Source organism: Homo sapiens, chromosome 8 (genome assembly GCF_000001405.40).
Source record: "Homo sapiens chromosome 8, GRCh38.p14 Primary Assembly".
Taxonomy (NCBI): Eukaryota; Metazoa; Chordata; class Mammalia; order Primates; family Hominidae; genus Homo; species Homo sapiens.
The window spans coordinates 105,419,522-105,435,025 of NC_000008.11; the positions used below are offsets into that span (position 1 = coordinate 105,419,522).

A 15,504-nucleotide genomic window follows, 5' to 3' on the forward strand; every position below is an offset into this window, starting at 1 on the left:
TTGGCCAATTAACTATGCACATTCTTCATGTTATTGGCCAATTAACTGTGATATATTTAATGTTGATCATTTATTCATTCATTCTTTCAACAAGAATTTATTGAATGTTAATTGTTTGCAAGGCACTAAATTAGGCATTAAATATTAGCACTGAATGAGTCAGAGAGTTCTCAACTAAGGTTCCATCTCATTCCTTTTGAAAACCGAATGCTTTAGGTGTTTAATGTTGACTTTCAACGGTGAGGATGGTGCTGTGGGGATATTGTCAAATAAAAAAATATACATTCTTTCTCCATTCTAGATACTTTTTTGACACATTAACAATATAATCCAAGAAGCACTTGAGACATATCACAGCTTATTTCCAGCCATGACTTGGAGCCAGATGGCCTTGCCAGTGACTGTGTTCTCATGGAGCATATATACTCATTTGTTTACTTTTTTCATAAGTCAGTTTAAGGTTCCTCATGATTCTTATATATTTATTTTTATCAGATTGTTTTGCAAGTCTTTTATCTCCTCCTGCACCAATGTACCGTTTTCACAAATGCTTGGATCACTTTCTTGGTTTAGAACAGCTGCTTTTGCAGAGGGCTTGACTGGAAGTGTATGTTTCTGTATGTCTGTCTGTGTTTGTGTATGCACCATTTTTATTCAGACATGTTTGTTTTTTATGCAGATAAATATAATAAAGTGGACTTTTGTGTGTGTGTATGTTTGAATTTGTTAATCAGACTTCATAGTCTCAAATCAAGAGTGCCAATGTAGCTTCTCAAAAAAATGTCAATTCACATATCTTGGTGGCCATGTATATATTTAATCATTAAAAGTTCCAGTATCATTTTCTCTTGTTGATGGTGTCAACAAAAAAAGTCAGAAACAAAAGATGTCAGTCAGCTCCCATCCCTGTGGTCAGTAGAACCCCTGGCTCTAAAACTTTGGAAACAGAATGGCACCTGGACACACTGAAATTCAAAAAACCTCCTTAACCATGTAGACCTCAAGATAACTTGTAGCATGGTCCTTGTCTCCTACATCAGAGATTTTTAATTGAAAATGAGAAAAGTATGAACAGAATAGCCTTTTTTCCTAGTGTTGACTCAGATTTCAAGCCAAATTAATATTTTCCTTAGTTGCTAGAACCATTAAATTGATGATATGTAGCCATGGCAATAAATCTAAGCTGTCTGGAGATGGATAATTTTTAAATTTATGTTTGAAGACATCTCAATTTTTTTTCTTATTAGGAAATACATCCTTTTGTGCATTGTAGAAGACCTACCTTATGTTGTGATGTTGCAATAAAGAGAGGAATTGAGAGTTAGAAGGTGAATAAAAGAGTTAACGTATGGATTTATACCTTTTGTCAATTTAATTCATCCAGGAAGGCAGTATGATAGGTACTACTGTATGAATTGCAAATTTTGGGACGATCTCTGGTTAAGGGCTATGTTTAATGAAAGAGTAAGGGTTCTTTACTCTTACTCTTTCATTAAACTTTTCATTAAACTTTCAAAGAAAGTTTTAAGGTAGTAATTTCCTGGGAGAAAATAGATTTATGGCAAATGCTTACATGAGGATGTAACTATGGTCTTAGGACAGTCACTCCAGCTATACTAATCAGAGTCTTAACTCATGAAAAATAATGACAGACTTTTAGGAATTAAGAAAAAACATTAAATTACAATTGTTCTGAACAAGATTCAGTAGATATTATTATTAATTTTTTTATAAACAGTTGGAAAAATGTTTAATGTCAGATGTACACAAAATAATATTTAGTATATGATATAGAGACCATATTAAATAATATGTAACATATATGTATTATAAGATAATTCTGTAATGTTTAATTTGAAAGTAGAAGGTCATAATGGGTGGGAATAACAATTCCTGTTTTCACATGATATTTTTCAGGATAAATAGTAATATTACTATTGATAGGAAAAGAATTTCATTATTTTACTCTTGCAGAATGTGTGACCAGGGAATTCCCACTGAAGTCAGTTGGAACTGGTAGAAAAGAAAGACAACTCTTTGATAGATTTTTCATCCCTTGAGGTCATGCAAGGAGTGCTATCCATTCTTCACTTAAGTTGATGAGCTACAATGGAAAGAGAATATTTTCTCTCTGGAAAATTAGAAACTAATCTTTCTGTTGAAATTCTCAATTTTTCTCAGTGACGCATAATTATGTTTTATTGCCAATTGTGAGGAAGAGGACAGATTAGCAATTAAAAGAGTAGAAGTTGCCAGGCCGGTGACTCACGCCTGTAATCCTAGCACTTTGGGAGGCTGAGGCGGGTGGATCACCTGAGGTCAGGAGACCAGCCTGGCCAACACGGCGAAACCCTGTCTCTGCTAAAAATACAAAAATTAGCCGGGTGTGGTGGTGGGTGCCTATAATCCCAGTTACTCAGGAGGCTGAGACAGGAGAATTGCTTGAACCCAGAAGGCAGAAGTTGCAGTGAGTTGAGATCGCACCACCGCACTCTAGCCTGTGCGACGGGAGCGAGACTCCATCTCAAAAAAAAAAAAAAAAAAAAAAGGTAGAAGTATTTAAATGGTTAACAATGCCAGTGTCATTACTGGAAAAGCAAATAAGACATGTTCCTCTGAAGAAAAGTATTTTTAGGCCGGGCGCGATGGCTGACGCCTGTAATCCAAGCACTTTGGGAGGCTGAGGCAGGCGGATCACCTGAGGTCAGGAGTTTGTGACCATCCTGGCCAATGTGGCGAAACCCCATCTCTACTAAAATACAAAAATTAACTGGGTGTGGTGGTGGGTGCCTGTAGTCCCAGCTACTCGGGAGGCTGAGGCAGACAGAATTGCTTGAACCCGGGAGGTGGTGGAGGTTACAGACAGCCGAGATTGAGCCACTGCATGCCCGCCTGGGCAACAGAGCAAGACTCCGTCTCAAAAAGAAAATAATAATAATAATAATATCTTGGGTTCATTAATGAAACTTTTTTTTGCACATAGTTTAAATCATTTATGACAATTTAAAAATTGTTGATATTTACTGGAAAATACATTGGATTATTTGGAAGTTTCTTGGTCTAAAGGCTACCCATGACCAAAATTTACCTGTTACCTAGTTAATTATATGGGTCCCAAGCATAAAAATTTTGTAAATTGAATGTTTTTTTCTTGTTAAACAAAGGATATCTTAAAAGTTCAGATCAAAAAATGTGGCTAGAAGGTCTAAGTTCTCCAAACAAGAAATTTTGACACATTATCAGGGGAGCATACTGAGGATAAACATAGAGTTACTACATATATTTAGTCATATTTTAGCAACTGCATTTTATATAAAACCAATCATATGTTATCATAACTTTTTAAAAGAAAAACTACATTTCTGAAGACATAGCTTATTATAAAGTTTCTGCTTCCTTTTGAAATTGAGCATTTCTATTATACAGGATATTTTCAGTGATGAACTAAAATTATAGTTCTTCAATGGCTCTTATTATTGTAACATTTTTCTCAGTTCCACACTGATATTATCTATGTTCTTGCTGAAGGGCAAGTTTTTCTAGTCTCAAAGTTGCATTTACTAATATTAGTAAAGTTTCTAGTTATTATAAACCATGTGATTAAATAAGACCCAAATCACTCTTATAATGTAAGATTCCACAGAAATGTCCGAGATTGTTGGTCAGAATTTTATGTTAGCATTAATGTATAAAATTCTTAATTATATAAGTCCATCTCAGAGATACCCTTGTTATAGTTGCATGCTTAAAATTTGAACCTGGCAATTCTATTGGCATTTCCTATGTCTCTTTTTATTTTGGATTAATTGCACATTTCATGTTCCTATTTTTCATTTCTTTGAAATGAAATGAACTATGTTGATAAAAAGATGCTATTTGAAATTTACTTTGATACCTTTAGATTTTAAACATTTTAACAAAATATAAAGCAATACTTTCAATTTACATTGTCATCTTTTGTTTATGAGTTTAGAGTACGTGGCATCTTGCCTTACAGTATCTCTGGGAGGAAGAAAACAAGCAAAATTATTTCCTTGAATTTATAGATGATGAAGACATCAAGACTCAGTCCATAAGTGCTACATATTTCCTGTGGTACTGAAATTTTCGTTTCAGTTATTTTGTCTGCCTTTCTTCTGGTTTATGTGCCAGACATGGAAGTACATCAGTATATTTGTAGAACTAAGCAAACCAATATGAACAGAAATATAGGTGGTCTGGAAAGCAACCTTGGGAGTTTGTAGTTATGTCACTACTGGCAGGTGGGAATGCCTATATATGAGCAATTCTTGGATGAACTCAAAGACAGTGAGTTTCAGAGTGGGATTGGCGTGGAGCAGTTCTAATTAATAATTGTAAAGTGAAATAAACATGTTTTGGGATAAATTCCAGGAGAATGTCACAAAATATGTGAACAGGAAGAATCAGATCAATGTCACTGGTTGCTAGTAGAATGTAATGCTATATAAAAAAAGATAACTCAGGTGAGGGGGGTGAGGGATAAAAGACTACACACTGGGAACAGTGTACGCTGCTCAAGTGATGGGTGCACCAAAATCTCAGACATCACCACTGAAGAATTTATTCATGAAACCAAACACCACCTGTTCCCCCAAAACGTATTGAATTACAAAAAACAAAGATAACCCCAAAGAAACTACATGTAAGTCAACTTTGAATTATCTACAATGATTATCTAGAAAAGTTAAAAAGCGTCCTTACAAATTGTTTGCTGATGTTATGATTTTAAAATAAAGGCCAGAAGGGAAAATGATGCTATCAAAGTTGCTTTGGGAAGACGAAAAATCTTTATGCCTCTTCCTTGCATCTAGATATGAAGAATGGTCAGAGACATTCTTGGGTATAATAATGCCCTAGAGAAATGAACTAAAATTAGACCTCTTCAGTCTGGAAATACTAGGTTTAAAAAGAGGGGTCATGATGGAAATACACAAAATAAGGAAAGATATATGGTGTAACAATGGAAATTCTCACTACATTCAAAAAGAGTCCACATAGTGTGCAGAAAGCAAAGGTTATTTTAAAGATTCTTTAACATAAAAAATGTAAAGCATATTAAAGAAAATAGAATAAAAACCTGGGTTATTCAGACTTGGATTTAATGTTAGCCCCATAAGTAATTAATACCAATTGAAAGCAAACATAATCAGATACTTAATAGGACTGGCAGAAACTTTCACTCCTGTTCACTAGGTCAAATTCAATACAACTCAACCCATATATTAAGCATCTGCTTTTTGCCAGACCTTCTTCTCAGAACTGGGATACAGCCTTAGGCAAAAGTCAGTCCCCACTCTCAGGAGGAGAGAGAGAGAGGCAATAAACAATTGAATCACATTTTATAAAGTTCGGTGAGATAGAGGATCATGAGGAAAAATAAAGCAGGCAAAGTTGGTAGAGTGTAATAGTGTGCACACACATGCTATTTCATAAAGAGCGATGGGGAAGGTGAACTTTGACTGGAGACTTGAGAGAAAGGAATGAGCTTCCAGTACTGAGTCAAGTCTGCAGTACCTATGAGGTTAGTGTTATAGGAAGCCAGAAGAGGACAGCAGAGAGCTGGGGAGCAGAAGAGGCACTGTCATACCTGTAGAACCTGCTGCTCTTGGAATCTGTTGGATTCCCACTACTATGGAAGCCTTCAGGAACAGAATTGTGGAAAGAAACTATAGTGTGTGAGCCACAGAAGAGAGTTGCGGTAAGACATGGCCACGACATAGTTTGTATACGCCTGGAGAAGAAAGGCCTGCAGAAAGGAAAGGTTAAGCAGGAAACTGAAACAGGTAAAATGGGGAAGCTGTCAGGGGATACAGATAACTCCAATCAGAATTATCCCTGAAGCCAAGGGCTTGATGAGACTCCATCTGTAGCTCATTAATGTGGTTTCCAGAACAGCAGTTTGGGGGTGTCTGAGGATGATATGAGTCACTTTGTTCCCTTCCATAATAGCAGAGTTGGGTTTGTGTTTTCTATGTCTTTCCACATTCTTGAATTAGAAAGATCAAGAGGCAGAGAAGTAGAACCAGTTTCATCATCGTACTCAACTTCTTCTGCCGATAGGCATCCAGGCTCATTGAAATGTTTCCCCCCTCCTCCCATCCTCCTTTCTTTCTGTTGGTTCCTGTAGTTTTGTGGCTTTGTTTAAAGATTAAGAAATAACAGAGGAAAAGCCATATTCCTCCTTGTTACCTGTAACAAATCTAAGTTAAGGTTATTGGCATTAATCCCTCCCTGCCCCTGGTCCCTGAATGTTAAGGTAAAGCAACAGAAGTTTTGTCTAGAGTCTTAATAACGAAAAGAATGCTTTTTTTAACTGTATCTTTATGCAGTTTTGGCTGTGGGAGTAGTAACCGTTGTTTTTCATTTGATCCCATGTCAAACATCATAGTATTTTGTTTCCTGTTTTCTTATGTTCAGTTTATTATTACTTTTAGTTCAGAAAGTCTATTTTGCTATATTTTATAAATCCTTTCAATGAACATGCTTTCTTTCCTCCTTGGTTATGCCTTTAATGACATGTTTTTGCCTCCTCTGATGCTTGAGTAACTGGAATCAGAAACTGCATAAGACAGCTCTACCATAATCACTTTGAGTTCAATAAGGAAGGGGACCTTTACAGGCAACTTTTTTCCTTTTTTCTTAACGGGATTAAGAAGCTCAGCTCTTTAAATTCTTGCATATAACATTGACATTTCCAGGGTGTGTTTGGACCAGGGAGTTCAAAGAGAAGGAATAAAAAAGAAAAGCCAATATGACTTTGTTTTTTACCTTGCTGGAGGAACTGTTTGTGCAAATCGCCTGTAAGCTTACTGACCTGAATCTTTGACTCCTTGTTTTCTCTGGATTTGGCTGGAGTGGAGACACTGATGGAGCACTGATAGGGCTGATTGAACAGCCCCCAGCTTTGCTTGGCAGGAACCTCCCTTCCCTTCTCCGCCACCTCCCCCTCCCTCCACATGACATTATTGTTCCTTGGCAGAGCCTCTGTTTTCCTGGATTCAGTACTTCTTCTTTTTCTTGAAATTTATTTTAAAATTATTAGTTTTTCTTAGGTAAATCATATAGCCATGCAAAATGAGAAGTAATACTTTTTAGAATGTAAAATTACAGGCTAGTGTCCTATAGGCCGGGGCGGTGGCTCACACCTGTAATCCTAGCACTTTGGGAGGCTGAGGCTAGCAGATCAAGAGGTCAGGAGTTTGAGACCAGCCTGGTCAACATGGTGAAATCCCATCTCTAAAAATACAAAAAATACAAAAAATACAAAAAATACAGGCAGTGGTACACGCCTGTAGTCCCAGCTACTCTGGAGGCTGAGGCAGGAGAATTGTTTGAACACGGGAAGAGGAGGTTGCCATGAGCCCAGATCATGCCACTGCACTCCAGCCTGGGTGACAGAGTGAGACTCCACCTGAAAACAAAAAAATAGTGTCCTATAAGTGCTTTTATCTCATGAGGTTGAAAAAATATATACCTTATGACCTTGTGGCATCACTCTTTTATAGCCATCTTAAAAGTCCCAAAACATAGTTTTTGTTTGGAATGAGATTGATTTTTTTAAAAAACCACAATTGTTGGGAAAATGGGAGAGCATGCGAAGGAACTCTCTTCTTATGAGAGTAAACATATTCTTGGTTTTGATGGAATCGGAAGGTATACAAATTTGCTTCATGACTCAGTATTCTATGTAAGGGTCAGATAAAGCTTTGTCTACTTACCTCATCTCTCATTTCAGATATATCATCATAACAGTTGCAACCAAATTAAAGTGATTAATTTTATACAATGTTTGAAATGACCCATGGTCATTTATATGAGTAACATATGATAATATGTACTACTGTTTAGCATATGACAAACTAAATTCATTGTTCTTTCTGTGAGCTGGCCAACAGATCTCAACTGTGCAGTCTGCTAAAGATATTTTTGAGGCATGTTAAGCTTGATAAAAAGCTCTTAATCTTCTCACATAAATGTAGATTTTCTTATTAATATGTAAAATTTTTCACAATGTTTTCATTATCATTTGAGAAGCAACAGGCAATATTAAAGTGTTTGCCCACCCATTACCTGATGGGATATCTTTATCTCTGGTAGGCCTAAACATAGACCGTGTAATGGGAAATGTAGAAAGCTGTGGTGCGATGAATTTAAGTATAGTAATAAACTCAGCCACTTTTTGTTGTCCTTAAAAGGTCAAGTAAAAATAACTGAATATGTTGCACCAATAAAGTAAATACTGATAAAGGATGCAGATTGCTGTTTCAGCTTCTTTTTTGTCATTCAGTGAGATTCCAGAGATTGGCATTAGGGCTATGTGCCAGTTACAATAATTTTAATAATGGTAATAACAACGTCCATTTGCTGACTGCTCCCAAAAGTCAGACATCTTCCTGTGTATGTATCATCTCTAATCAGCTTACTGTCCTACACGGTAGATGCTGTTTTTGCCTGTAACTTCCAGAGGCTCAGCAACTTGGCCAAAGTCAACAAAACTACTAAAGACTAACACAAAATTAAAACTTGCATTGTTGGTGCTTAATAAAAATAGAGAACTAATTTTGCTTCCTGATGTCCACTATTATATAACTCTTGTAGAAGGAGGGAGAGGAAAACATCTGAAGAAGGTTAGATATATGAAGTATGAAGCTCACTTTTTCAAGGTATTTTTTAACTGGGCATTTTCTAATAAACACTTACTGTACACGATGTGTCAGTCAAAAATAAGGGTGCTTACAAAACCAAATAAACAAAAAGGCTAACATAAATGAATTAGGGATGTTCTTAAAATATTTCTATCTTTTGGTACTTCTTTAAAGACTGTCAGTATAAACCATTTTGTAATAAGAGGAGTTGAGGTTTTGATATAATGTAAGGGGCTATATTGAAAGCATGTTAGTCTCATTATACTAACTGAAATTATATTACCTTGTTTTAAAGACATTCAATAAGCTACAGTTTCTCACTGCCTGTTTCTTATGATGTTGCTTTCAGGTAATTTGAAAGAGTGAGGACACACCAAAATGTGTGTATTTGGGCAGAAGCCAGTAATAAATGGCAGGAATGTTTACAAATCCATCAAAACTATTTGGATAAGAGCTTCAGCCTTGTAGAAATGTTTGCAAAGTGAACTCTTTAAAATAGTTTGACCTCAACACAAAATAAGACTAAATAAAAAACGAAGAAAGGAAGGAAGGAAGAGGGGAAAAGGGCATTGTTTGCAGGGAAAGCTCTGGGCACTGTGAAAACTTTTCACTTTTCTGAAGGAAATGCAGTACAACAGATGGTAAGAGTGGAAGTGAGATAAACATAGGAACTAGAAAAGTAAGCAGTGCATTCTAACAGGTTCTGTATCAAAGATCTGGAGAAGTAGAAAGATTAGACAAGGAACGGTTCTGAAACCTGACAGTGGCTGTATCTTACCAAGTCTTAGCACATAGCAGAGACGGAAAGTGGAATTGCACAGACAGTAGGCTGTGATTATATTTTTCTGACAGAAAGGAAGGTCTCTTTAAGGATTATTTTTAATGATATAAATTTATCAAGCTGGAAATCTATCATACAGATATATCAAACACTTTGCTTACTATATATTTAACAACGCGATTTGATGTAATTTCTATTGTTGCTATATGATTAGCTCAAGACACTGTATTTTAGGTCTTACGTAAACTGTAATTTTTTTCAATGCAAATTATGGCCCAGGCAAGTTAGCCAATACTGAGAACCTATGTTACCTGTTTCTGGTCAGCATGGATATGTATATGTGGCCGTATGTGATCATGCATGTATAGAGGCAGAAAGAGGACTACATAAAGAATTTTCTCATTTCTTAAAGATACAGTGACCTAAGAAGGAGTGACCTAAGAAGGGAAAGAAAACGTGCACAAGTTAGACAAGGAAATATATATATATATATATATGGAAATAGTGTCAAACTTGGGCTGATTAAGGAAACAATGCATTCACTCCCAAGCTTCCTTATGGTAATGTGCATCATTCTAATGTGGAAACCACTCACCAGCACGCATCTGCCTCATTTAATCTGTGCATTCTGTACTCCTATATTCTGTATTGGTGGCTGACTCCTAAAGGGAATACCAAAATACAATAACTTTTAACGAGAAACAACAATTCTACAAAAATGCAAAGTGATACCAAAAAAAAAAAAAAATGGACAGGGAAAGTAGCTTATATGCTAAGGAAAACCCAACTCAGATGTGTTTTATTTACAATATTGGCAGTTGTGCTGGGTGACTTTTAAGGTGCCCCTAAAAATATCAAATTATTAATAAAAGGAATGCATATTGAAAAATTATGTAGTATGCATCTTATTTTCACACTGTTAATTGTCAAATGTATTAGATGTATTCATTCACCTTTTTAGTTTATTTCACAATTGTTTAATTATTTTTCTAGCCAATGATAGACCTAGGACAGTTCAAAACAGTGTGGGACAATTCTGAAACTTGGATAATTCAAATAAATACTGGGTGTCGCTTCAGAATTCTGAGGCTCGTTTGACAGGGGTTTCTGAACACCTGAGCACTGGGGCAGTACGGTTTATCTGAGAAAGATAGTTCTGACCTTTACTGTGGTTACTATGAGGTTAATGAAGCTTAAACTTCAAAACTTCTCACTTGGACAGACTCCTCCCAAGGCCCTGCACCTAATTTTGTAGGTGGGACTTTGAATTCTTTTTCTTAAGGAGGCCCCCTGAATTGTATAAGCTTTGGTCCCCACCAAGCCTGAATCAACCCCTTTTAGTACCTGTAAGTGTTAGTGGTCTTCAAAGAAGACAACCAAGATCAAGAATGTTAAGTTTGTTTTCAACTTCCTAATTTGTTGGAAAACCAAACAGATTCACAAAAAGAGTTTGTGTTTATATTAGATACCTGAATTCCAAATCTATTATCATTATAGGATAAGTTACCCTTTGCCTAAAGAGACCACAGATATTCATGAAAAGCCTGATTTTGAAAGTGCTATGCTAAAAAATGAAGAGAGAGGGAAATAATTTCTACATTTCTGAAACTCTGGAAAATGCTGTGGGTATTATCTGTGTTTTTCTGGTGTTATCACCAGCAGCCAAGAACCTGTTGCTGGCACTAAGGGAGGAGACGCTGTTGGAAGACCTTGTAGTAAAAATAGTCTGAATGCGTCTTGTGATAACTTATTTGGGACTGTCTCTGGTGTTGGAAGCTAGATGTGCATCTGAGTTAGAAGGAGGCTGATGGGACCTAGAATACTCTTTTTTACCCAGAGATGTGGAAACTCTGTTAGGATTAGGTGCAGCTGTTACAGTAGGTTCCCAGAAGTGGCCACAGGACTCTTTGGCTTGTATCCCATTGTCCACAACTTTTTTTTTTTTTTTTTTTCGAGATGGAGTCTCACAATGTCGCTCAGGCTGGAGTGCGATGGAGCGATCTCGGCTCAGTGCAACCTCTGTCTCACGAGTTCAAGCGATTCTCCTGCCTCAGCCTCCTGAGTAGCTGGGACTACAGGCGCCCCCCACCATGCCTGGATAATTTTTTTTTGTATTTTTAGTAGAGACTGGGTTTCAGCATGTTTGTCAGTCTGGTCTCAAACTCCTGACCTCAGGTGACCCGCCCACCTTGACTTCCCAAAGTGCTGGGGTTACAGGCATGAGCCACCACACCTGGCCCACAACTTATTTTTATGATGTGGTCCATGCTAAAAGAGAAGCCTCTGGTTTGTTGTCAAGTGGCCATATGCCCAACTCTAAATTACGTTACTATGGAGGGTTTACAGATTATATAAAATGCATAGCTTTTATTTGCTTTGCTTGGTTATTAGAATAATTAATGAATGAAAGCATAATGGCAGTCAGTGCATTCAACATTCATGCGTTAGCTAATCCAGTAAATATTTATTGAACACCTGCTATGTCAGACATGTGAGACATGCTGTGGATACAATGGTAAGTAAACACAGGGAAGGTCCTGGATATCGTAGAATTTACCTTATAGTGGGGAGGCAGACATTAATAAAATAATCACTCAAATGGTTCAGGGTGGTTTGATCTAGTGAGGAAGGTCAGAGAAAATGTCTGTAAGAATGCGACACTTGGCCAGGCATGGTGGCTCACACCTGTAATCCCGGCACTTTGGGAGGCCAAGGTGGGAGGATTGCTTGAGTCCAGGAGTTTGACACCAGGTTGGCAACATAGGGAGACCTCATCTCTATAAAAAATAACAAACAGAAAACCTAGCAGGGCATGGTGGTGCATACCTGTGGCCCCAGCTACTTGGGAGGCTAAGGTAGAAGAGTTGCTTGGGCCTGGGAGTTTGAGGCCACAGTGAGCCGTGATAGTACCATACCACTGTTCAGACTGGGTGACAGAGCAAGACTGTGTCTCAAAAAAAAGAAAAAGAATGTGACACTTAAGCTGGAGTAGAAGTTGGCGAGGCATTAACTAGGCAAAAAAAGGTCATAGAGTTTCAGGTAGAGGGAACAGCATTTGAGCGACACCAGCCTGGTGAGCATGCAAGGAGAGCAATAGAGACGGGTGTGAGTTGGGCCAGAGAGACCAGGAAGGACAATGATCATAAGGCTAAGGACAGGAAATAGTAGAGACGAAGCATAAAGAGGAAGATAAATGTTCTGAAAGCTGAAATATGAAATTGCAAATCTGAGCTTTCCATAAGCCATAGTAGAGAGAGAAAATGGAAGAGGAAGATAATTCCAGTGATCAAGCAGGAGGAAAAAAACAGGATTTGTCAGGAGAAAGAAATGTTAGCCCTTATTTGTGAGCTCTGAGAGTCATTCATCATTAGAGTGTTTGAACTAGTGTTATATAAAGGGCATTCAGATATGGAACGATGCCTTTGTTAGGCCTATGCGTTCTCTATTGGCTACTTCTCCAGCCTTAGCATTTTGAATGTGTAGCTTAAATAAGGTCCTATTTAACAATACAATGGAATACTTTGATAATGAGTGATTGCTTACAAATAATATTCTTAAATAAACACGGAGGCCGACAAACAGAAGGGAAAGTGGTTTCTTGCTAGCAGAACAATAGAATTGTGATGGGGTTATAGTACAGAATATCCTCATTTAGAGACCATAAGGTGTTACTGTGTCTCTTCTTTGGAACAAGAAATGTCTTAGCTATTTAGAATCTTCCTCTGATGGGAATGATATTAGATACAGTGAGACTTTTTGAAGGGAAGGTAGGGGAAGGGATAATAAAAATTATTTAAATATAAGCTTTGAAATATAAATTTTAGAAACATAGTTTAAAATAGAATGTCGGACTGGGTGCAGTGGCTCATACCTGTAATCCCAGCACTTTGGGAGGCTGCAGCAGGAGGATCACTTGAGGCCAGGAGTTTGAGACTAGCCTGGGCAATACAGTGAGACACTCATATCCACAAAACATAAAAATAATTAGGTGGGCATGGTGGCTTGGGCCTGTTATTCTAGCTACTTGAGGCTGAGGCAGGAGGATTGCTTGAGCCCAGGAGTTCAAGGTTACAGTGAACTGATTGCATTGTTGCACTCCAGCTTTGGCAAGACTCTGACTCAAAAGAAAAAAAAAATAGAATTCCTTGAATGCCTTGTTTTCCCACACTTGCTTATGTATCTCACCCTTTCATGTGCTCGTTGAGAGAAATAATGAGGAATAAAATTATCAAGAGATAATACCGATGAAAAGTTGTCTTATTTCATGTGGAAATTTCCCTTATGCATCAAATCTTCAGTGAACTTAAACTTTGAGAAAAACTATTTTCACATGGAGGATAATATTGATAGCAGGGATAAATATTCAGTACTGTGTTCAATAATTCAATGTTCTTTCTTCCTCAGTTATCAATACTTTAATTGTGACTTTTACATGATGTTGGTAAACATAAACATTAGTATTTTCAATATTTTCTCCTTACTAGCTATGATGAAACACTACAAATGGCAGTAGTCATGCATTAACTATAGAAATTGCGGCTGGGCACGGTGGCTCATGCCCGTAATCTCAGCACTTTGGGAGGCCGAGGCGGTTGGATCACAAGGTCAGGAGATCGAGACCATCCTGGCTAACACAGTGAAACCCAATCTCTACTAAAAATACAAAAAATTAGCTGGGCGTGGTGGCGGGAGCCTGTAGTCCCAGCTACTCGGGAGGCTGAGGCAGGAGAATGGCATGAACCCGGGAGGTGGAGCTTGCAGTGAGCCGAGATCACGCCACTGCACTCCAGCCTGGGAGGCAGAGCGAGACTCCATCTCAAAAAGAAAAAAGAAATTGAGTTTCTTCTCAACATGACAGTGTTAGCCCTGGACCACTGTTATCAACTGTTTCAGGATTGTTTCCTCATCTGCGGTCCTCAAATGTATAGCCAAATAAATGTGGGTTCTAGTCTTTTGATCTGCTTAATCTTTCATATTAAGGAGTCTGAAACTACCGTCAAAATAATAATATTTTGTCAGATAGGAAAGCCCCAAATAAGTTACAAAGAAGTCACATGCATTTTTAAAAAATAATTGTATACTGAATATAACTACCCAGAAGATGGGAAAACTCTGCATTTTATTATACATAAGTAGTAAGTCAAAGGGAGACCTGAGTTAGAAACCAGGATAGGAATCCACAAACATAATGGATCTATTCTTTTCAAACAGTTGAAATTCTTAATTTTTTTTTTTTTAGGTATTGCCATAAAGGGAACAGCTGCATGTTTTTATTTTTGTTCCTGGAGATAGAATCGTGTCTATAATTTGGTAACATAGAGTTAATTTAACATGACATTTCTGTTTGGATAATCTATAACCAAACAATTGTGTTAAGTTACACAATATTGTGAGGCTATTAAGCAAAGCAAACACAAACTGAATCTTAAACTTTAATGTCCTCGCCCTTCCGTATGAGCTGCAGTTTTCTGTTTTTGACTGTTGAAGTCCTTTAACCAAAGCTATCTTGTCTGATGATAAAACCATAAGTGTATGAAGCTCACACATTTTTCATCTCTTTTATGACCTTATCTTTCATGAGCTTCTTCTGTGAAGGTATCCTAACTATAGGAAGCACCTGGAAAACATATGTGATATCTATTCTCTGATAAGCAGTTGTGAACAAGAAAGTAGATCTGTCACTTCTGAACTGTTCATTGTTAAAAAATACTTTGATGATTTAGCTGATTGCAAAATGCATTATAGGGATGACTAACAGCTACAGTAACACTCCTAGTCAAGAAAGTTCAATAGTTATATTGTACAAGAATTTCTATAAGAGGTTAATATTGATAGGAACTACATGGATTAAAAGAGCAAGGTTGAGAAGGGCTGTTTGCTTGCATGACTGCTTTCAAACACTGCTGCTATTCTGTGCTGAAAAAGTGACTGTCTCGGAATGTGGCAAATCTTTAATTTCTACAGAAGTATTTAACTTTCAGTGAAAAGGTGTTTGTTTGTGGTTTTTAAATTATTTTTGCCTGGCGAGTGGAGCCACTGCTTTTACTATCTTACCAA

The 15,504-nt window shown here is 37.2% G+C and overlaps 1 protein-coding gene across 8 annotated transcripts in view; it reads left to right on the forward strand.

Annotated features, from left to right (window-relative positions):
- The window catches only part of ZFPM2 (zinc finger protein, FOG family member 2), a 486,102-nt gene that overhangs the window by 101,084 nt on the left and 369,514 nt on the right, over window positions 1–15,504 (forward strand). The gene's annotated exons all lie outside the window — the stretch shown is intronic.